Source organism: Homo sapiens, chromosome 17 (assembly GCF_000001405.40).
Source record: "Homo sapiens chromosome 17, GRCh38.p14 Primary Assembly".
In the NCBI taxonomy this organism is placed as follows: Eukaryota; Metazoa; Chordata; class Mammalia; order Primates; family Hominidae; genus Homo; species Homo sapiens.
This window is the reverse complement of record NC_000017.11, coordinates 40,287,181-40,307,363: the sequence shown is the minus strand read 5'-3', so window position 1 is coordinate 40,307,363 and position 20,183 is coordinate 40,287,181. Positions and strand designations below refer to the sequence as shown.

The 20,183-nt window shown below is 44.3% G+C and overlaps 1 protein-coding gene across 4 annotated transcripts, besides 6 other annotated features; it reads right to left on the bottom strand.

Moving 5' to 3' along the window:
* CDC6 (cell division cycle 6) lies at positions 2,707–19,485 on the bottom strand. 4 transcript variants are annotated; one of them, XM_011525542.2, is made up of 13 exons: positions 19,232–19,485; positions 17,766–17,956; positions 16,025–16,306; positions 15,696–15,895; positions 13,733–13,908; positions 13,308–13,414; positions 12,861–13,000; positions 11,908–12,008; positions 11,664–11,783; positions 10,597–10,661; positions 6,334–6,536; positions 5,756–5,896; positions 2,707–5,452 (listed from the first exon to the last, which is right to left on the bottom strand). In XM_011525542.2, the coding sequence occupies exons 2-13, from the start codon at positions 17,941–17,943 to the stop codon at positions 5,363–5,365; spliced, it is 1,803 nt and encodes a 600-aa protein (XP_011523844.1). In that variant the 5' UTR covers positions 17,944–17,956; positions 19,232–19,485; the 3' UTR covers positions 2,707–5,362. The 4 variants fall into 4 exon arrangements, with proteins under 4 accessions (XP_011523844.1, XP_011523843.1, XP_047293163.1 ...); XM_011525541.3 differs by having other exon boundaries at positions 19,274–19,485; XM_047437207.1 differs by lacking the exon at positions 11,664–11,783.
* Positions 10,956–11,471: an enhancer, noted in NCBI's record as "OCT4-NANOG hESC enhancer chr17:38452145-38452660 (GRCh37/hg19 assembly coordinates)". NCBI's record gives its function as "activates a minimal SCP1, AML or CMV promoter by ChIP-STARR-seq in primed H9 embryonic stem cells {active_cell/tissue: H9 hESC(primed)}" and the evidence as "EXISTENCE:reporter gene assay evidence [ECO:0000049][PMID:30033119]".
* Positions 15,374–15,960: an enhancer, noted in NCBI's record as "H3K27ac-H3K4me1 hESC enhancer chr17:38447656-38448242 (GRCh37/hg19 assembly coordinates)". NCBI's record gives its function as "activates a minimal SCP1, AML or CMV promoter by ChIP-STARR-seq in primed H9 embryonic stem cells {active_cell/tissue: H9 hESC(primed)}" and the evidence as "EXISTENCE:reporter gene assay evidence [ECO:0000049][PMID:30033119]".
* Positions 18,870–18,939: an enhancer, noted in NCBI's record as "active region_12137". NCBI's record gives its function as "activates an Ori minimal core promoter by ATAC-STARR-seq in GM12878 lymphoblastoid cells {active_cell/tissue: GM12878}" and the evidence as "EXISTENCE:reporter gene assay evidence [ECO:0000049][PMID:35858748]".
* Positions 18,870–19,725: a biological region, named in NCBI's record as "H3K27ac-H3K4me1 hESC enhancer GRCh37_chr17:38443891-38444698".
* Positions 18,918–19,725: an enhancer, noted in NCBI's record as "H3K27ac-H3K4me1 hESC enhancer chr17:38443891-38444698 (GRCh37/hg19 assembly coordinates)". NCBI's record gives its function as "activates a minimal SCP1, AML or CMV promoter by ChIP-STARR-seq in primed H9 embryonic stem cells {active_cell/tissue: H9 hESC(primed)}" and the evidence as "EXISTENCE:reporter gene assay evidence [ECO:0000049][PMID:30033119]".
* Positions 18,970–19,149: an enhancer, noted in NCBI's record as "active region_12136". NCBI's record gives its function as "activates an Ori minimal core promoter by ATAC-STARR-seq in GM12878 lymphoblastoid cells {active_cell/tissue: GM12878}" and the evidence as "EXISTENCE:reporter gene assay evidence [ECO:0000049][PMID:35858748]".

The window sequence follows — 20,183 nt, the reverse complement described above, 5'->3', positions numbered from 1 at the left end:
GCAGTGAAGTCAGCTGGATTGAGGCCCAGAAACCCCCACACCCTGGGGCCAAGTCTTACTCTAGCTTTGCTTTCAGCTTAAGTCTTGGCGAGGCCCCAAACTAGGGAAGGCCCTGGTTGCCCCTTTCCGCCTCCCTACCCCCACCCTTATTAAATACACATTTTATCTCTCAGCATCTTCATTATCTTAACTGAAGGAGACAAGCAGTGGATGGCGGCAGCAGAGAGCGTCAGGAGCGGGGGGCGGTGCGGGGAGCAGGCGCACCCTTGTTATAAAGTGCTGATCTAGCTCTTTCAGGCAGTGTGGGAAACAGAGGAGGGATCAAAGGGAGTGAGGCTGATTCAGAACTCAATTAGAGCTTTTTAAAAAACGAAGCTGGCTCTCTCCTTTCACCAGTCTTCAGCCTTTACCCAAGCCCCTTGCACCCAATTAACTTCCACTACCAGTGCCTTGGGGCTGGGGTTGAAAATCAAGGGGAGGCCAGAGGGCACACCTTCTCCCCTTACGGAACACACCTCTTCTAAGAGGAAGACCTGCACTGTTTGTAGCTTAAGAGAAGGTATCTTAGAAAGTACCTTATCTTTTCAGGAAGAACCTGAGATCACAACTTGCCCCAAGTTAAAAAGAGGGACATCAAAGGTGGGCTCCTCCCTAAACCCTTGCCTACAGACCCAGCTTCTGGCCAATCTAGCCACACTGAGTGACATCCAGACAGGCAGCCCTCTTCACAGCCTGTAGATAAGACTCTTCCCCTCATAGCCAAAGCGTCCCACCAGCAACATGGAAGTTGCCTCAAGCAAAATGCCACTACATCAGAGGGAGTGATTGGAATGCATCTGTGAGGCTAATAAATGCTCCAAAACTGTGCCAAGACACATTTTGTAAGACAGAGCACCCTTCTTATGCAGGGGCCTGCTCCACCTCTGTGCAAAAGTACCACCAACGTTTACCTTCAGCTTAGAACTGTTCTCACCACTGAGGGAAAGGCAGTATCTTATTTGGTTCACTTATCTGTTAAACAACTATTGAGTACCTACCAGGTATTAGGCACTATACTAATTGCTAGGCACAGATACAAATGTAAATAAAATTTCAATCTTGGATCTCTTTTGTCCTCCCTCAGCAGTCAAGGTAACACGTCTCAAGATATTTAAAAAATATATAACCGGCCAGGCATGGTGGCTCAAGCCTCTAATCCCAGCACTTTGGGAGGCCGAGGCGGGCGGATCACGAGGTCAAGAGATCGAGATCATCCTGGCTAACACAGTGAAACCCCATCTTTACTAAAAATACAAAAAAATTAGCCGGGCATGGTGGCGGGTGCCTGTAATCCCAGCTACTCAGGATGAGGCAGGAGAATGGTGTGAACCCGGGAGGCGGAGCTTGCAGTGAACAGAGATCGCGCCACTGCTCCAGCCTGGGTGACAGAGCAAGACACCATCTAAAAAAAAAATATATATATATATATATATAAATAATATGTATATAATATATAATATGTATATTATATATAATATACATTATATATATAAAATATATATAATATGTATATAATATATATATAAAACCTAAATCACATCTTATTCCCAACTTCTCATTCTTATTGGTGTATCTGCTTTCTGTCTTTTATAGAGACAGGGTCTCGCTCTGTCACCCAGGATGTAATGCAGTGGTGTGATCATAGCCCATGCCGAGTTGAACTCCTGGGCTCAAAGCATCCTCCCATCTCAGCTTCCCAAGTAGCTAGGACTACAGGTGCATGCCACCATGCCCAGCTGATTTTTAAGATTTTTTTGGTAGAGAAGGGTAAGGGGGTCTCACTATATTGCCCAAGCTGGTCTCAAGCTCCTGACTTCAAGTAATCCTCCCGCTGCTGCCTCCTCCCAAAGTGTTGGCATTACAGGCATGAGCCACCACACCTGGCTTGATGTATATTCAAAGGGACACTTAGTAAAGGTAGGGAGCAATGCAAAAGAGGGGGCGCAGAGAGAATAAGGCTCTGCCAACTTTTTGATCTCTGGGTAGCTTAGACCTCACACATTTTTTTTTTTTTTTTGAGACAGAGTCTCACTCTGTCACCCAGGCTGGAGTACAGTGGCATGATCTCATCTCACTGCAACCTCCACCTCCCAGGCTCAAGCAATTCTCCTGTCTCAGCCTCCCAAGTAGCTGTGATTATAGGTGTGTACCATGGCACCCAGTGAATTTTTGTACTTTTAGTAGAGACAGGGTTTCGCCATGTTGGCCAGACTGGTCTTGCACTCCTGACCCTTAAGTGATCAGCCCGCCTTGGCCCCACAAAGTGCTGGGATTACAGGCATGAGCCATCACACCCAGCATTTTTTTTTTTCCTTTTTGAGACAGTCTCATTCTGCTGCCCAAGCTGGAGTGCAATGGCACGATCTCGGCTCACTGCAACCTCTGCCTCCCAGGTTGAAGCGATTCTCCTGCCTCAGCCTCCCAGTAGCTGGAATTACAGGAACACACCACAATGCCTGGCTAATTTATTTTAGTAGAGACAGGGTTTCGCCATGTTGGCCAGACTGGTCTCAAACTCCTGACCTCAGGTGATCCGCCCGCCTCGGCCTCCCAAAGTGCTGGATTACAGGCGTGAGCCACCACCCCCAGCCTGGACCTCACACATTCTTGCAGAGTTAGCTAGCCACAGGCAAGTCTCCATTGAGCCAGAAACATCTGTGGCAGCTCTGGGGTTGAAACACACAATTTATTTTGTCTATGCTCTTTCCATGGCAACACCCAACACTCTATGGAAGCTTAATCAGCTTCCTTGGGGTGGGGGAGAGAGATAAACCAGGATATAGACACACACTCCATCACCTTCAAAAGGAAGAATGTAGGTCAGCATCTTTGCCACTACTCTAAGTGAAGCAGCCTATGATCCTGGCAAAAACTGCTAACCACAAGCCCATCCCATCCCATCCCACTAAAACTCCTACCACCTTCCTGAAGCTCTCAGCTTCAGGGAGAAAAGCCAGCAAGGAAAGGGCTTTCTTCCTCAGCAGTCTGAATTACACTTAAGACTTTACTGACAAACATATATCAGCTTTTGCTCCCACAAGGGCAGCAGAAGCCAAGCAGGGACACTAAGTCTGCTTCATGCATCATTGACAGAACCAACCCTGTTCCAACTGCTAAAGTCTTAAGAGCAGCAATGACCTAGAAATTGACAGTGAGGGGAGAAGAAAAGGAAACTAACAAATCAGTAGACAGAAAACTCTATTTCCAAAACCAGGGGAAAGGGAAAGATAGAGGGGAAAGAAATTTGGCCCCTTTGAATCTACCAATGTGATTTTGGCTGGAAGCCAGGGAGGATACATAGCAGCCCCACTGCGAGTCAAGCCATGTTCCTGACTCAAGCCCTACAGTTAAGAGGAAGGCGCCAAGCCTCAAACACAATGAGGTGGGGAGGCTGCTCCTTATTGGGCAGGATCCTACTGTGGACACAGAACAGACAGCAGCTGCCCACAGTGTGGAAACAAACTGTAAAGCAGTCACGTCTCTTAAGGCTGCAGCATCCAATAAAATGTAATTTAAATCAAGCTTCGCATCTGTTCTCAATCCCATTCAGTCTCTGCTTTCCATCAGCCTTCGGACAATCTTTGCAATTATGCATGTTAACCCTTATAGTCCCAGACACTTTCCAACCTTCTAGGTATAGAACTGTGTTTCCATGTTCAAACTACCTTCAGAGGGAACGAATACTCTAGTAAAGGAGTGTGAGAACAACATTCAGACTCATGCCTACAGACTATCATGTGCTACACACACCAGTGGGTAGTGTTCATTTCAGAGGGCTCTCTCTGCTTTCCTTGCCTCTATCCCATACCACCTGTTGTAGCTCAGATCACATTACACGGATACAGTGGTCAGGATGAATGAAACAGTGGCCAACAGATCACTTGTACACATATCAAGTTCCAAATGGAAGGCCATGTCAGAAAGGTAGAGGCGGCAGCAGGAGAGCTCAGGGAAAAGCAGACTTGGTCACTGGCTCTCAGATCATTCGTATCACACATGGTTTACATTTCAAGCATTTGCTTCAGTTATGAAAGGACAGCAATCTCCCAAACAAATCAAACTAGAACTTCCCCCTTTCCCTCAAAACTACCTCAGCCTCAAGCATCCCCTTTCAAAGTAGTCAATGTTATAAGGGTGCCCTCTGGTGTCTCAGTCACAAATTGCCATTTAATGCCACCAAACCAAACCCAGAAGGCTCTTGATTAACCAACCATATGGACTAATTTATCTAATAAGACTGGAAAAATGTGTTTAGATGAAAACCCAACCCCAAAGTAGTCATCTTGAAACAAGTGGCTTCATCTAAGGGCAGCAAAGACTGTGGGACAGCCTAGGAAGGAATTTTCACATTGACTTCTGAAAGCTTGAGCTCTCTTGAAATCTGATTGCTTAAAAAGACAAAGAATGCAACTTGAAAATAAATATATTCACAATCTGTAGAGTTATAGTCTCCTTATGACCCCAACGCCCTTGGGAGTGCCCAAGAAACTCAACGAGTCTAAAATGCCACAATGTTGTAGTATCTGCACCATGAACATAGTATACTATACAAAGAAATAAATTCTTTAACCAGTGTCCTCCAAATCTCCATGTGGACTTGCTTGCATTTTTCTGGATCATTTTCATTCTTCTTACCCTAAACTTAAAGTTCTTAACAAAATACCTTAATGGCTGAGCATGGTGGCTCACGCCTATAATCCCAGCACTTAGGGAGGCCAAGGTGGGCAGATCACTTGAGGGTCAGGAGTTCAAGACCAGCCTGGCCAACATGGTAAAACCCTGTCTCTACTAAAAATTAAAAAATTAGCTGGGCGCGGTGGTGGGCACCTGTAATCCCAGCTACTCGGGAGGCTGAGGCAAGAGAATCACTTCAACCTGGGAAGCGGGTGCTGTAGTGAGCAGAGAACGCGCCATTGCACTCCAGCCTGGGCAACAGGGTGAGACGCGCCTCAAAAACAACAACAACAAAAAAAACAAACAAAAAAATACCCACTCATGTTTGAGCAAACGAAGAGGTAAATATACACACATTCCTCTACACAGATCTGTACACTTGCAAGCACATTGGCTAGAGATACACAAGTGGTAGAAGTAGTGAATGTAATTAAAAAGGGTCTACCTGGTCACTTTTATGGGTAAAAATAGTAAGACCCAAAGATATTATTCTGTGCTAATATTAAAGAATCTATAGATTAAAATTCATTGGCTTCAAGTAAAAAAGGTCATATTTGTTTTCAGGCCCGAATGTGTAAAGCACTAAAATGAAGACTGTAGCTCTCTAAATGCCAGCTGAATACTTTCGGGTGGGGTGTAAGAGAAGAATTTAAGGCAATCCAGTAGCTAAGATATTTCCAATTAAAGCTTTATCTTTCAGAGCATGTTCTATTTCTTTCTCTTCAATCTTGAAAAACACCTGGAAAGAAGAGAAAAGGATTTTTCACACTGGGGAACTCACAAAAGCAAAGTTGTCAGTATACAAACTTCTACCATATTAAACTTTTTCTCACAAAAGGCAAGCAAGTTAAACACTTTTTTTTCCAATGGCTTGAAAAAATATTCATATCACACTCCCATCTTTACACACCTTAAACCTTACCTAACAAAAAACGACTTGTTTAACTAACTGTGGTCATCTTGTTTAACAATAAACCTTTACTTTAGCATCACTCTACAAAATAGGACAATTAAAAACACTGTCACAAAAAAGCAGTTGTACCTTTGTCAAACGGGTTTCCTTGTTTCTCTTTAATCCTAAAATGCCCCTGGCTTCCAAGAGCCCTGAAAGTGACAAACACTCTGACTGGTCCACAGCCGCCACCTGCTGTTTGCGACAGACTTTACTGTAGGCTTCATATAACTGGTAGGAAACAAGGGAGAACAAACGCTGCTTAAAAGTCACATTGCTTATAGCCTTTAATCATTTAAGAAACCTGAGTCTGGGTTTGCAAAAACTTATCTGAATACCCTATTTCTTCCTCTTTTCAATAAAATCTTTGAACAGGCTTCTGTAGATATTCCCGAAAACCTATACAGTAATGTAGGAAAGGGGCTTTATATATTTCCTAGAGAGATGCAGAAATGAAGGGGAGGATAGGGAAAGGATTAATGATAAACTCTCAACCACAATCCAAGGGAAATAGGTGCCTTTTATATAGTACCAGTATTAATTCTTACTGTTAAAATCCATTTTAAATTTATTATCAGCTGAAGTATCATAGGCCTTTTGGAAAATACCTGCTCTGCAAAGCAGATTCTGATCTCTACCTCCGTTCCATCTGCTCCATCCCAACTTACCTTCCCCAGAGTGACCTCTTTGATTTTCAACTGCCTGATCAAGAGCATCAAAGAGCAAACCAAGATCTTCTGCTGAAGAGGGAAGGAATCTTGTGCTCCTTCTTGGCTCAAGGTCATCCTGTTACCATCAACTTCTGAGATGACTTGGGATATGTGAATAAGACCAACCCTCTTGGGAATCAGAGGCTCAGAAGGTGATTTACCTATAAAGTAAATAAGCCAAGCTTAATTCGATTTCTAAAATACTGTGTGTGTGTATGTATGATGAGACAGATGATACTAAGTTTGAGCTAAAGGAAATTCAAGTATAGTCACATGGTGGCAAAGCAGAGGTTTTAAATCTCTAACCAGAGGCCAAAGGATGAGAGATAATGCTATTCTCTTAAGGATGTCAAAATAATGTGGGATGACTTGAAAAGTAGGGTTACCCTTTCTCTGGGCCAAATAGTGAGCTGTTTTGTCCTATGGAATGTAATTTAATGTCAGAGGAACAAAACCCACCTCATGAAAGGACCAGAGAACTACTGTATTTTTTTTTGGGACAGGATCTCTGTCACTCAGGCTGGAGTACAGTGGCACTATCATGGCTCACTGCAGCCTTGGCTTCCTGGGTTCAAGTGATCCTCCTGCCTCAGCCTCCTGTGTAGCTAGGATTACAGGTACGTGCCACCATGCCAGGCTAGTTCCTAGTATCTCAGAGGTATAGAATAACAGAACCTTGAAGCAAAGATGGTGACTGTGCTTGGTAATTAAGAAAGGAAAAAAAAGGCCAGGTGCAGTGGCTCACGCCTGTAATCCCAGCACTTTGGGAGATCAAGGCGGGCAGATCACCTGAGGTCAGGAGTTGGAGACCAGCCTGCCCAACACGGCGAAACTCCATCTCTACTAAAAATACAAAAAATTAGCTGGATGTGGTGGCAGGCGCCTGTAATCCCAGCTACTTGGGAGGTTGAGGCAGAAGAATCACTTGAACCCGGGAGGCAGAGGTGCAGTGAGCCAAGATTGTGCCACTGCACTCCAGCCTGGACGACAAGAGTGAAACTCCATATAAAAAAAAAAGAAAGGGAAAAAAAAGTTGGAAAATTACCGAATATTTTGGATCAAATGAGTGGCTAAATGTGGAGAGTGAAGTCGCTGCCATGTCAGCCCTTCAGATGGCTTCCCCAAATGACCTTTGAGGTTTGGTTCACTTGCCCAAGCTGATTAGCAGTAGAGCAACACTTGAGAAAATGTCATTGGATATGCTAGCAGATAGCACCATCTTTTTTTTTTTTTTTTTCTTTTTGGTATTTTTTGTAGAGATGGGGTTTCATCATGTTGCCCAGGCTGGTCTTGAACTCCTTAGCTCAAAGCAATCTGCCCTCCTCGGCCTCCCAAAGCACTGGGATTATGGGCGTAAGCCACCATGCCTGGCCAGATATCATCATCTTAATAAAAGCCAGGGGTTGGGAAACTGCCAATAAGCTTCATAAGACTATATCCTTAGCAAACTACTGTAGGAACAGAAAACCAAATACCACATGTTCTCACTTCTAAGTGGGAGCTAAATGATGAGAACACATAGACACATAGTGGGGACAACACACACTGGGGCCTATAGGAGGGTGGAGGGAGAGGATCAGGAAAAATAACTAATGGCTTGAGCTCAGGAATTCATGACCAGCCTGTGCAACAAGGCGATGGGTTTCCCCCATCGCTACTAAAAATACAAAAAAAACAGCCGGGTGTGGTGGTGTGTGCCTGTGGTCCCAGCTACTCAGGAGGCTGGGGTGGGAGGATGGCTTGAGCCTGGGAGGAGGAGGTTGCATTGAGCCAAGATCACGCCACTGCACTCCAGCCTGGTGACAGAGCGAGACCCTGTCTCAAAAAAAAAAAAAAAAAAAAAAAAAAAAGACTATGGCCTTATCGTTTGGAGATGCATGAATTCCAAGACAAAGAAATGTGTTCTGTAACAACCTTTACCTGAAGTTACTTCCTGAAATCACTTGCAGTTGCCCCACAACAATTTACTTCTATAATATTACATTACCACAAAGGGATGCTGCAGAGGACTAATGGAGAAACCGGAGATCACAGATCAAGTAAAAGAATCTTAAAATTGAAAGGAATTTAGAAGTCTATTTTTACTCCCTATCCACTGGCCGAGTCCTCTCTAGAACAATCTCAACAAGTGGCATCTATCCAGCTTTTGTCTGAATATCTTCAATGCTGGAGAACCCACTATGTTTCAAGGAAGCCCAGTTAGTTCTAGTTATTATAAATTTTCTTCTTATATTTAGTTAAAGTCATTCTCCCTATAGCTTTCTGGAGCCCTTGAAAGCCAATCTCAACCTGGTATGGTGGCTCATGCCTGTAATTCCAAAGCTGTGGGAGGCTGAGGCAGGAGAATCACTTTATCCCAGGAGTTTGAGACCAGCCTGGGCAACATAAGGAGACTCCTCCACCCACTGACTCTACAAAAATTTTAAAATTAGCAGTAGCTGGAGCTGGGGAGGCTGAGGTGAGAGGACTGCTTGGGCCTGGGAGGTTGCAGCTGCAGTGAGCCATGATCGCACCAGCCATAATTGCACCACTGGACTCCAGCCTGGGAGACAAAGCAAGACCTTGTTTTACACAAAAAGAAAAAAAAAAAAGAAAGAAAAAAGCCAATCCCGCACAAACCAGAAGTCAAAAGATAGAACTTACAACCTCTTTACCTTTTTGAATTATGTTTGTGTTAGTGGTGCTCACAGGGGCCAGTGACAAGCCTAAATGTTACTGATGGGGAAAAAGGAGGAGGAAAAGGGGATAATCTGAAAAGTTGAAAAGGAGGAAGAAACCAGTATCTAAGTCTATACATTGGTATATATTGCCTACTATTAGCCTAAGCACTATTTTTGGCTACTTCTGAAACATTTTTAATTATTTTATTTTAGCAAATTGATGAAAAAAAGAAAGAATTTCATGCAGAACTATAATGCCAGAAACAATTTTACTTAAACTCCCAGCCAGTGTAGGAGTGAAAAAGAAACAATCAAATCTTACTATTCTGTTTATAAAGACTAACACTGGATATCAAATACTGTAAGATACGTAGTTCATGGCCATTTTACATTTGCCACAACCAAAACAAGGCTGAGGGAATGGAATATTAATTTTGTCATTTGTGATACCATGCAGCTTACTGTAGCAGTATGATCTTTTTACCTCTACCCTCTAGACTTGTTTAAAAGCTTGAGATATCCCAAGTTGAACTTATAATTCTTCTTATTATTATTCTTTTGGGACAGGGTCTCGCTCTGTTGCCCAGGCTGGCAGTGCAGTGGCACCATCTCGGCTCACTGCAACTTCTGCCTCTCCAGCTCAAGTGATTCTCCTGCCTCAGCCTGCCAAGTAGCTAGGACTACAGGCACACACCATGCTTGCCTAATTTTTTTTAAGTTCTGGGATACATGTGCAGAACATGCAGGTTTGTTACATAGGTATACATGTGCCATGGTGGCTTGCTGCACTCATCAACCTGTCATCTAGGTTTTAAGTCCTGCATGCTCTCCCTCCCTTTGGCCTCCACCCCCAACAGCCTCCGGTGTGTGATGTTCCCCTCCCTGTGTCCATGTGTTCTCATTGTTCAACTCCCACTTATGAGTGAGAACATGTGGTGTTTGGTTTTCTGTTCCTGTGTTACTTTGCTGAGAATGATGGTTTCCAGCTTAATCCATGTCCCTAAAAAGGATATGAACTCATATTTTTAATGGCTGCAAAATTTTTAAAATTTTTTGTAGAAACAAGGTCTCACTATATTGCCCAGGCTGGTCTCACAATCCTGGGCTCAAGCGATCCTCCCGCCTTGGCCTCCCAAAGTGCTGGGATTACAGGTGTGAACCACCGCACCTGGCTTCACAATTCTTTTACCCAATTCTCCCTTATTTATCAGGCTTTGCTTTCACCTATATTGAGACCTAAAGTGCACGCAACATAAGCACCCAGAGAGCTGATCCAACCTCATTGTCTACAAGTTTCATTTCCAGAGCTTGGAAAAAAAACTTACTCTGTCCCAGCCATTTACGCAATCAATACCCTGGGAACTCATTTCCAGTAATGCACGAACTATAGTACTGGCAGGCAAGATTGAAATAAAGTAGACGAAACGGACTAAAAACACAGACACACATAAAAATGGGTGAGTTTGGATTTAACTATGTTCATTTCATCTTTCTACCTCTTTCCTCAGAAAAGCTAAGCTTCTAGTTACAAAGGAAGACAGGAAGGAGATAAACTACTTACATTCAGACAGTGGTTTGAGAATAGTCTGGCTTTTGACATCTGACTCTACAATTTCAATAGCTCTCCTATAAAAAAAATTTCTAAAATTAATTTAGTCTGAGCCAAACCAAACACACCAAACCACCAGCCTCAAAAGCGGCACATTAATGACCATTGCTCAAAGACTGCAACTATGAACAATGGTCATGTAGGCTAACATGGTTTAGCCTACACATATCCTACGTGTAACTTTAAAATTATGATGTTTTATAATTTTAAAGCCCCCAAACAAAACTGGGTTATTTCTCAGATAAGGGGACTTAATTGCTTTGAAATAATTCATGGACATCAGATTTGAGAAACTTCAATGGTTTCCTCCTAATGGATGCCAAGTAGGTCATCATACATTAAGCCAATGATAACATTTTGGATGAGGAGAAAATGTCATGGGTAGGAGAGAGGATATGTAGTGTGGGTGACTGACTAAAGGGAGTCAGCATCACCCATACACACCAAACCTAAAAGGGATATCTTCAGTTATATATACATAGGATATGTGTAGGCTAAACCACGCTAGCCTACATGACTATTGCTCATAGTTGCAGTCTTTACCCAAGTAGTTTGCTGATTAGGGGAAACTTTCAAATTCAGGATCATGCAATCTAGCAATAGGAAGAGCTTACTCTCCCACTGCTCTCTCCAAAGTACTTGCCCACAGGAAGCCATAAGCCAGACCTGGGTCTTCTGCATAGCAATAGGGGGAGGTTGGACCAGCAGGCCAGCACAGCAAGTATCATTTTAATGGACCCAGTGTCCCTACTGGGAAGGAAGAAATTTCATCAGTCGGCACAGAGGCTTTCCCCAGCAGGAGGGGCAGGAGGATGGGAAGGGAGAAAGAGGTCTGGAGTACAACTGTGGGGGACCACCAACTGAAGGGAAGAAGGGGTGCTCACAAAAGGAAAGGAAGGGGAACAAGTCTAAAGGCAAAGACGGTTCAGGTCCATAAATAAACCTGCTTGAGACCAGCTAATGGAAAAGTAAACTGGAGTCTTTTTTAATACAAATGTAATTAACCAATCTATAATCACCACAGGGAGTGCCAGCAACATCTCATTTGTTTCTCCCTCTGTAGGTAATGGACTGATAATGTTTCAGACATTAACACGGTGGAAATCCAGAGCTCCCCACTGAGAAACAAGTCCTCCTTTCTGAGCGTAAAAAAGTAGCAGAACAGAGCCTCTTAAGCCACATTCACTTGAGTTACATGAGACAATTAACAGCATTTCTTTTTTTTTTTTTTTAATAAAAGAATGCAACAGAGCCGTAACTCACCTGCAAACATCCAGTGCTTTGCGAACATCTCCTGAAACAGCAGAGACTTTGCGGGCACAGAATTGAACTGCAGCATTGTCCAGAACCTGATCTCTAGATACCTTCAGACAAGACATAGAAGATGACAGTTTGAACCATAAGATTCTCCCTCTGTAATTTAGGTCCCAAGCATAAATATTTTCACATTTAACCCTAAACTTGATTGGCAACTCTTTAGGGTTAAAAAGATGCCTTTTCTTCTCATAAATAATGGAGACGTTTGAGAGTTTTCACACATTTAAGCTTTTTGTACGGATGCAGTAGAAGTTCATAAATGGAAAAAAGCAATCAGAACTGAAATTAGCAAAAATAAAAAATCTATTTAGTCATTTTCAACAGAAAAAGTTTTTTCATAGGCCCTATTTTTTAAAGGTCATTAAAGAAAGCACTTGAGGCTGGGTGCGATGGCTCATGCCTGTAATCCCAGCACTTTGAGAGGCCGAGACAGGCATATCACCTGAGGTTAGGAGTTCGAGACCAGCCTGGCCAAGACGGTGAAACCCCAGCTCTACTAAAAATACAACAATTAGCTGGGCGTGGTGGCAGGTGCCTGTAGTCCTAGCTACTGGGGAGGCTGAGGCAGGAGAATCGCTTGAACCCGTGAGGCAGAGGCTGTAGAGAGCCGAGATCACGCCATTGCACTCCAGCCTGGGCGATAAGAGCAAAACTCATCTAAAAAAAAAAAAAAAAGCGCTTGGGTGATTCCTCTAACTCCTGCTTTTATTTCAACACTGAGACACCCAGTAAATGAATGAAGCTGAAATTCACATAAAAATGTTCTCACTATGGTCCATAGGAACTCCTTGCTCCATTAATAAAGCAATCAAGGCAAAAATATTTTAGAACTATTGTTAAATTTTCCTAGCACAGGTGATCCAAGGAACACATAATTTGGCAAAATAGTTGGCACTGACCTGATTAAGTCGATCTTGCAAAATAGTGACTATCTGATTTCTGGTATAAGGTGGGAAGTTCAACAGCTGTGGCTTACATTTTTCTCTAGCTTGAAGCCTAGGTAGAATTCTATCTGTGAGATCCAGGGTATTAGCAATACCTAAGGAGGAGATCAACAACATTGATCATTGGTCAAATTATCCTAAAGGGAAAACTAAATCTTCTGAAAGCTAAATAAATCTCCAGTTATAGAATCTAGCATTCTAATTGTTGCTTGCCACTTGTCTCCTACCCCATCCCAATAGATAAGATGTATCTATTAGGTAAGATGTACATAGTCATTTAACTTTCTTATTTTGACACGGCAGAAAGCTGGTTTAAGATAAAATAGCTGATAAATAAGCTGAATATATATTCTTAAAAAATACTTTAGAACCACCATGTAACATTAACAATTGAGCACTAACCAATCAGCACCAAGTGAGAATTGCTTAGCCATGGCCATTCAAATAGCGTGTACAATACATCCTGGCCTTTGCTGTCCAGTTGATCCATCTCGTCCAATACCAACACACTATAAAAAGAGAAACAGTTAGTATCCATATTCACCTTCTTAACCCTCTAATGTTTGATATAGGCTGACTTCAGGTCACTTTCCTAAAGCTGAGACCAGTTTAAAGATCATAATCTAACCTATCTCTAGTTACTGCTACAAGGATACCCCACATCATCTATAAGTAATCCAATTTAAAATTAGGTGTATCTTCCTTCTCTTCTTTCCCTTTAAGTTTATGTAACTATCCTTCAGAGAGAAAATATACAAAATGTACTTTTTATGGGCAACAGACCTTGCAGATTTTCACAGAGCAACATGAAGCAGAACAATACTTACATCATGGGGCCCTTCTCTGCAGTCATATGTTTTTCCAATTTCCTCATCATGTCCTTCCCAGCTGGCCTGGATACCTCTTCCTGACAAATCTCCTGAGCAATAGCTGGGAATACAGCCTGGGCAGTCCTCAAGGACATGCAATTCAGCATGATAGTTTTAAAGCCTTTCAGTTCCTTCTGGAAAAAAAAATGCAAATATGGGAGTTATTTTGGCCTCAGAAAATAAAGATCTGATAGAGCCTAAAATGTCTTTGAAGAGCTAACAGCACGTAAGGAAGCTCTACTTTCATTTGGAAAGATTTAAACAATGAAATTACAAATGTTTTATTTTGAAGAAACCCTCAATCTTCTAAACTTCTACTCTTTCTTTTCTTTCTTTCTTTTTTTTTTCTTTGAGACGGAGTCTCACTCTGTTGCCCAGGCTGAAATGCAATGCCACAATCTCAACTCATTGCAACCTCTGCCTCCCGGGTTGAAGTGATTCTCCTGCCTCAGCCTCCCAAGTAGCTGGGATTACAAGGATGCACCACCACACCCAGCTAATTTTTATATTTTTAGTAGAGATGGGGTTTCGCCACATTGGCCAGGCTGGTCTTGAACTCCTGACCTCAGGTGATCCACCTGCCTCAGCCTCCCAAAGTGTTGGAATTACAGGTGTGAGCCACCGCACCAGGCCTACTCTTTCTTAACTCTTTTTTTTTTTGAGACGGAGTCTTGCTCTGTCGCCCATGCTGGAGTGCAGTGGCGCGATCTCGGCTCACTGCAAGCTCCACCTGTGGGTTCACGCCATTCTCCTGCCTCAGCCTCCCGAGTAGCTGGAACTACAGGCACTCGCCACCACGCCTGGCTAATTTTTTTTGTATTTTTAGTAGAGACGGGGTTTCACTGTGTTAGTCAGGATGGTCTCAATCTCCTAACCTCATGATCCGCCCGCCTCGGCCTCCCAAAGTGCTGGGATTATAGGCGTGAGCCACCATGCCCAGCCTTCTTTTTCTTTTGAGACAGAGTCTCACTCTGTCACCCAGGCTGGAGTACAGTAGCGCGATCTCAGCTCACTGCAACCTCTGCTTCCCGAGTTCAAGTGATCCTCCTGCCTCAGCCTCCCGAGTAGCTGGGATTATAGGCACCTGCCACCATGCCCGGCTAATTTTTTTTTGTATTATTAGTAGAGACAGGGTTTCACCATGTTGACCAGGGTGGTCTCAAACTCCTGACCTTAGGTGATCCACCCACCTCAGCCTCCCAAAGTGCTGGGATTACAGGTGTGAGCCACCGTGCCTAGCCCTCTTTCTTAACTAAGTGCCAGCCAGGCACAGTGGCTTACACCTGTAATCCCAGCACTTTGGGAGGCTGAAGCAGGCAGATTACTTGAGCTCAGGAGTTCAGGACAAGTCTGGGCAACATGGTGAAACCCTGTCTCTACAAAAAATTAGCTGGGTGTAGTGGTGAGTGCCAGTATTCCCAGCTATCCAGGAGGCCGAGGTGGGAGGATCACCTGAGCCCAAGAGGTCAAGGCTGCAGTGAGCTGAGATCACAACACTGCACTCCAGCCTGGACAACAGAGACCCTGTTTCAAAAACAAAACAGGCCAGGTGCGGTGGCTCACACCTGTAATCCCAACACTTTGGGAGGCCAACAAGGGCGGACCATGAGGTGAGGAGATCGAGACCATCCTGGCTAACACAGTGACACCCCGTCTCTACTAAAAATACAAAAAACATTAGCTGGGCATGGTGGCGGGCGCCTGTAGTCCCAGCTACTCGGGAGGCTGAGGCAGGAGAATGGCGTGAACCTGGGAGGCAGAGCTTGCAGTGAGCCGAGATCGCGCCACTGCACTACAGCCTAGGCGACAGAGCGAGACTCCGTCTCAAAAAACAAAACAAAACAAAACAAAACAAACAAACAAACAAAAACACCCAAGTATCATTTTACCAAGAGTATCATAATTCAGACTCTCAATGTACCTTGAGGTCTTGCAGAATCCGGCTTAAGCAGGCAGTTTTTCCAGTTCCAGGAGCACCAGAAAGGTAAAGGCTTCCAGCTTTTTTCCCACAGATGTGTTCCCTCAAGAAATTCCTGATGACATCCATCTCCCTTTCCCTGGCAGGCAGCCGATCTGGGACAGCTGTGTTCAGGACCAGCTTTGCTTGCTGGTAGCAAGTGCCTGTGCCAGACATAAAAGGTCAATTAGACACAACAGAAGGTGAATGAGAAGACCCAGTGGGTGGTTTCATTTGGAGTCATCAGCCTTGGTTACAATGGCTGCACTAACAGTTGCCATGTAAGAACAAACCTTCTTGCTTGAATAGTCTCACACATGCAGATTCTTTCTTCAGTGGACATCTCTGCTCAGAATTTGTTGTGATCTCTTGACTTTTTCTAACTGAAGAAAGTATTTTGTTTTGGTGAACTTTGGCTAGTTCTCTTTTGCTAGGAGACTTAATTGTCAGCTGATTGTCAAATACCAATCTTCGTCCCTTAAGTGTATGTGAGTGAGGGGGACCATTCTCTTTCTTGCCTTGCTTTGGTGGAGAACAAGGAGGTAAATGGGGAGTGTTGCATAGGTTGTCATCGCCTGAAACACAATAAAATAAAAATGTAGTCACTCATAGCATTGGATAGTAAAAGGATGTGCAAGACCTCTGCCTCTTCCAGAAAGAGGTGAATTTCTACCTTAGTCAGAACCACCAAAATAAAATGCCTTCTCACTTAGCAGCAAATATTGGTCACCAGATGGCACCACTGATCTTACTACAGTAGTCCCTTCATCCACCGTTCTAGTTACCCTCAGTCTGAAAATACTAAATGGAAAATTCCAGAAATAAACAATTGACAAGTTTTAAATTGCATGCTGTGGAGTGCCATGATGAAATCCCGCACCATCCTACCCAAGACATGAATCATCCCTTCAGCCAGCATATCCACACTGTATATGCTATCCACCCACTAGTCACTTAGTAGCTGACTTGGTTATCAAATCAAAAACACAGTATATGTAGGGTTTGGTACTGTCCTCGATTGCAGGCGTCCACTGGGGGTCTTGGAATGTATCCCCCATGGATAAGTGGGGACTACTGCATTTAGTAGAAACCAAATGGGTTTTAGTAGGATGAAATTGTAAGGCTATTTTGAAACAGGTTTTCTCAACCTTGGCACCACTGACATCTTGGACCAAATAATTCTTCATTGTCAAGGAGCTGTCCTGTGCATTGTAATGTCTAGCAGCATCCCTGGCCTCTACCCACTATGCCAGTAGCAACCCCCAGCTGTAACAACCAAAAATGTCTCCAGAAACAACCAAATTACCCCCCATTTAAAAATAAATGTTCCAAAACAAGAAAGAATTACCAATCACTGTCCTAAAGGATGGAAAATATTCATCATGTCACGTTTTTGTTTCTTTTAATTTCACAAATATTGAGGTAAGTTTCATAATACCATGTAACTACAAGGTAACTTAAAACATTGACAGAACTAAGTTCAGTATTAAGGAATTGAAGATCAGACTTATTAAGTAGTTCAGAGTGACCTCAGTAAGTGTCTAACTCTGGAGTTCGGTAAGCACTTAGCAACCATTCTGAAAATAACTAAAATGAAGAGTAGTCTTAGGCCAGGAGCGGTAGCTCATGCCTATAATCCCAGCACTTTGGGAGGCCGAGGCAGTTGGATCACCTGAGGTCAGGAGTTCAGAGACCAGATTGGCCAATATGGCAAAACCCTGTCTCAACTAAAAATCCAAAAAAAAAAAAAAAAAAAATTAGCCAGGCTTGGTGGTGGGCGCCTGTAATCCCAGCTACTTGGGAGGCTGAGGCAGGAGAATCGCTTGAACCCAGGAGGCGGAGGTTGCAGTGAGCCAAGATCGCACTATTGCACTCCAGCCTGGGAGATGGAGCGAGACTCTGTCTCAAAAAAAAAAAAAAAAAAAAAAAGAAGTCTTAACTGAACTTAGAAAGCTCCTTCAAAGGACACACATCTTACCAAGAAAAGAAAGGTCACGAGCTGCTAGTGAAAAAGTGATATAATGGATGGTTTACCCAGACGTTTCCTGGGGCTGAGAGGCAGGGCTTTTACACGAGGAGAACAGGTTACGGTTTGGACATTTGTTGGTTCTAGTTTGGCATCACTGGAGTTTTTAGCTTTGTTCAATGCCCGAGACAGCTTCCTTTTTGGAAAACTGATTGTAGCCTGTGCCTGGGATCGGGTTTGAGGCATGACGACAGCACAGCTAGATTAAAAAAAATAAGAGGACAACTAGTCAATATGTGAAAGTGAAGAGAAAATAACTAACATGGAATTTATTTATACTGATGATTAACACTTATTTCCTAATTATGTTATCACACTTATTTTAGCATTCACTTTTGCTTCACATCCAAATCTATGCAAGAACAGCTGACATTTGTTGTCTACCTACTACGTGGAAGGGCGCTGTTATAAACACTTTAGGTACCAACTCGTTTAACAACGATCTTAGGAGTAGGTACTATTATTAGCCTTTATTTTACACATGAGAAAACTGAGATAAACAGTGGCCCAAAGTCACAGAAAAACAGGAATGTAACCCCGGGCATCTGGTGCCAGAGCCCAAGTTCTTAACCAATTGAGCGATGCAATAACAAGTTACCTGAAATGGGCCGGGCGCGGTGGCCCACGCCTGTAATCCCAGCACTTTGGGAGGCTGAGGCGGGCGGATCACCTGAGGTCAGGAGTTCGAGACCAGCCTGACCAACATGGAGAAACCCCGTCTCTACTAAAAATACAAAAATTACGGCCAAACGCGGTGGCTCACGCCTGTAATCCCAACACTTTGGGAGGCCGAGACGGGCCGAGACCATCCTGGCTAACACGGTGAAACCCCGTCTCTACTAAAAATGCAAAAAATTAGCCGGGCGTGGTGGTGGGCGCCTGTAGTCCCAGCTACTCGGGAGGCTGAGGCAGGAGAATGGCATGAACCCGGGAGGCGGAGCTTGCAGTGAGCCGAGATCGCGCCACTGCACTCCAGCCTGGGAGACCGAGCGAGACTCCGTCTCAAAAAAAAAAAAAAAATTAGCCGGACGTGGTGGCGGGCGCCTGTAGTCCCAGCTACATGAAGAGGCTGAGGCAGGAGAATGGCTTGAACCCGGCAGGCAGAGGTTGCAGTGAGCCGAGATCGCACCACTGCACTACAGCCTGGGCGACAAGAGCGAGACTCCGTCTCAAAAAAAAAAAAAAGTTACATGAATTGATTTATATAGAACTTCTAGTTTCCTCCCTCCAGGCACGCGGGGTGTCTTTATCACCAGTTCAGCCCAGCACCCGCCACATTTAGTCTCTTCTATCCCAAGCCCTCACACTGCAGCTCAGTCTTCCCTCAGTTCTTTCCGCCCCTGCACTCAGTCCTCATTCTAGGCAGCTCTCAACGCACCCCAGAATATTTCCTTCCTACAACTTTCACCTCCTTCACACCACGCATAACTGCTAGAACTACCCCGAGGGCACCTGCCCTTTCCCTGATCCCGACCTCAGACCTCCAGCGAGCTCAGCTCTTTTCCCTTCACTTCACCTCAGGCCTCGCCGGAACCCGCAGCCTTCACCCAGCTCCGCTGCCTCACAGACCCCAGGCCTCCTCGAGCAATCCTCTTCTTTCCACCTCCTCAGTGCAGGATCCTTCTCACGTCTCTCACACGCAGCCTCTCGGACTCACCACCACAAGCCCCTGAACAAACTGCACAGCGGCAGCAGCAAACTCCAGCCGCGCTCGCGCCAAATCCGAATGGCCACAGCGTTCCCACCTCCCGCCAAAGCCCGGCCTCGATTCTGATTGGCTGTAGTCACAGAGCCTTTCGCCTTGGGCACCGCCTCTTTTTTTGCTACCAATCCAGTGGAAGAGTTACAGCCAATGAGAGAGCCCCAAGTCTTAGAGTCGCTGTGAGGCCACGACCACTGAACGGGGGAGGGAATCTACATCCGGGGCCTCGGTGGAAAGACGCGCGATTGCGGCAGGGCGACTCTGGGTAAAGCGGGCCGGCCCGCCGCAAAGCACGCTGGGAGGCGTAGTCTTTGCTGCCGCGCAGTCGCACTCTTCCTTCGACTGGAAGTGTCAAGATGTGGTTCCCCTTCTCACTGCCTAAAGTACCCATTTGCATCATCCTGATGGGCTAGATTTTCAGAACTGCTACATGATACCTACCGTTTTGGGTTCTGTGCGCCAGGTATGATGCTAGGCACTTTCCTTACCTCTCTAATGCTCAACCTCGCAAAGTACAAAGCAAACTTCTATACAAGGTTAGAGGTCACAGCATCTTGGTGACAGTGAAGAGCCTAGGATCCAGATCTCCTGATGGCTGAACTAGTGATTTTTATGGTAAAGTTCTACACACCTATATAAAGAAAAACTATGCTTCATCATAGTATCTCTTGATTTGTGCTTCAAAGGTGAGAAACAGAGCCAACTCTTTACTTTTATTTCGTTC

What these genes read in the sequence shown, in the direction of transcription:
- CDC6 (XM_011525542.2), bottom strand. Translation starts at nt 17,943, where the DNA reads ATGCCTCAAACCCGATCCCAGGCACAGGCTACAATCAGTTTTCCAAAA. An exon ending in GCAGAGAAGGGCCCCATGAT is followed by an intron (nt 13,415 to 13,732) that starts GTAAGTATTGTT and finishes CTCTTTTTATAG; the next exon opens with TGTGTTGGTATTGGACGAGA. An exon ending in TTCTCACTTGGTGCTGATTG is followed by an intron (nt 13,001 to 13,307) that starts GTTAGTGCTCAA and finishes TCTCCTCCTTAG; the next exon opens with GTATTGCTAATACCCTGGAT.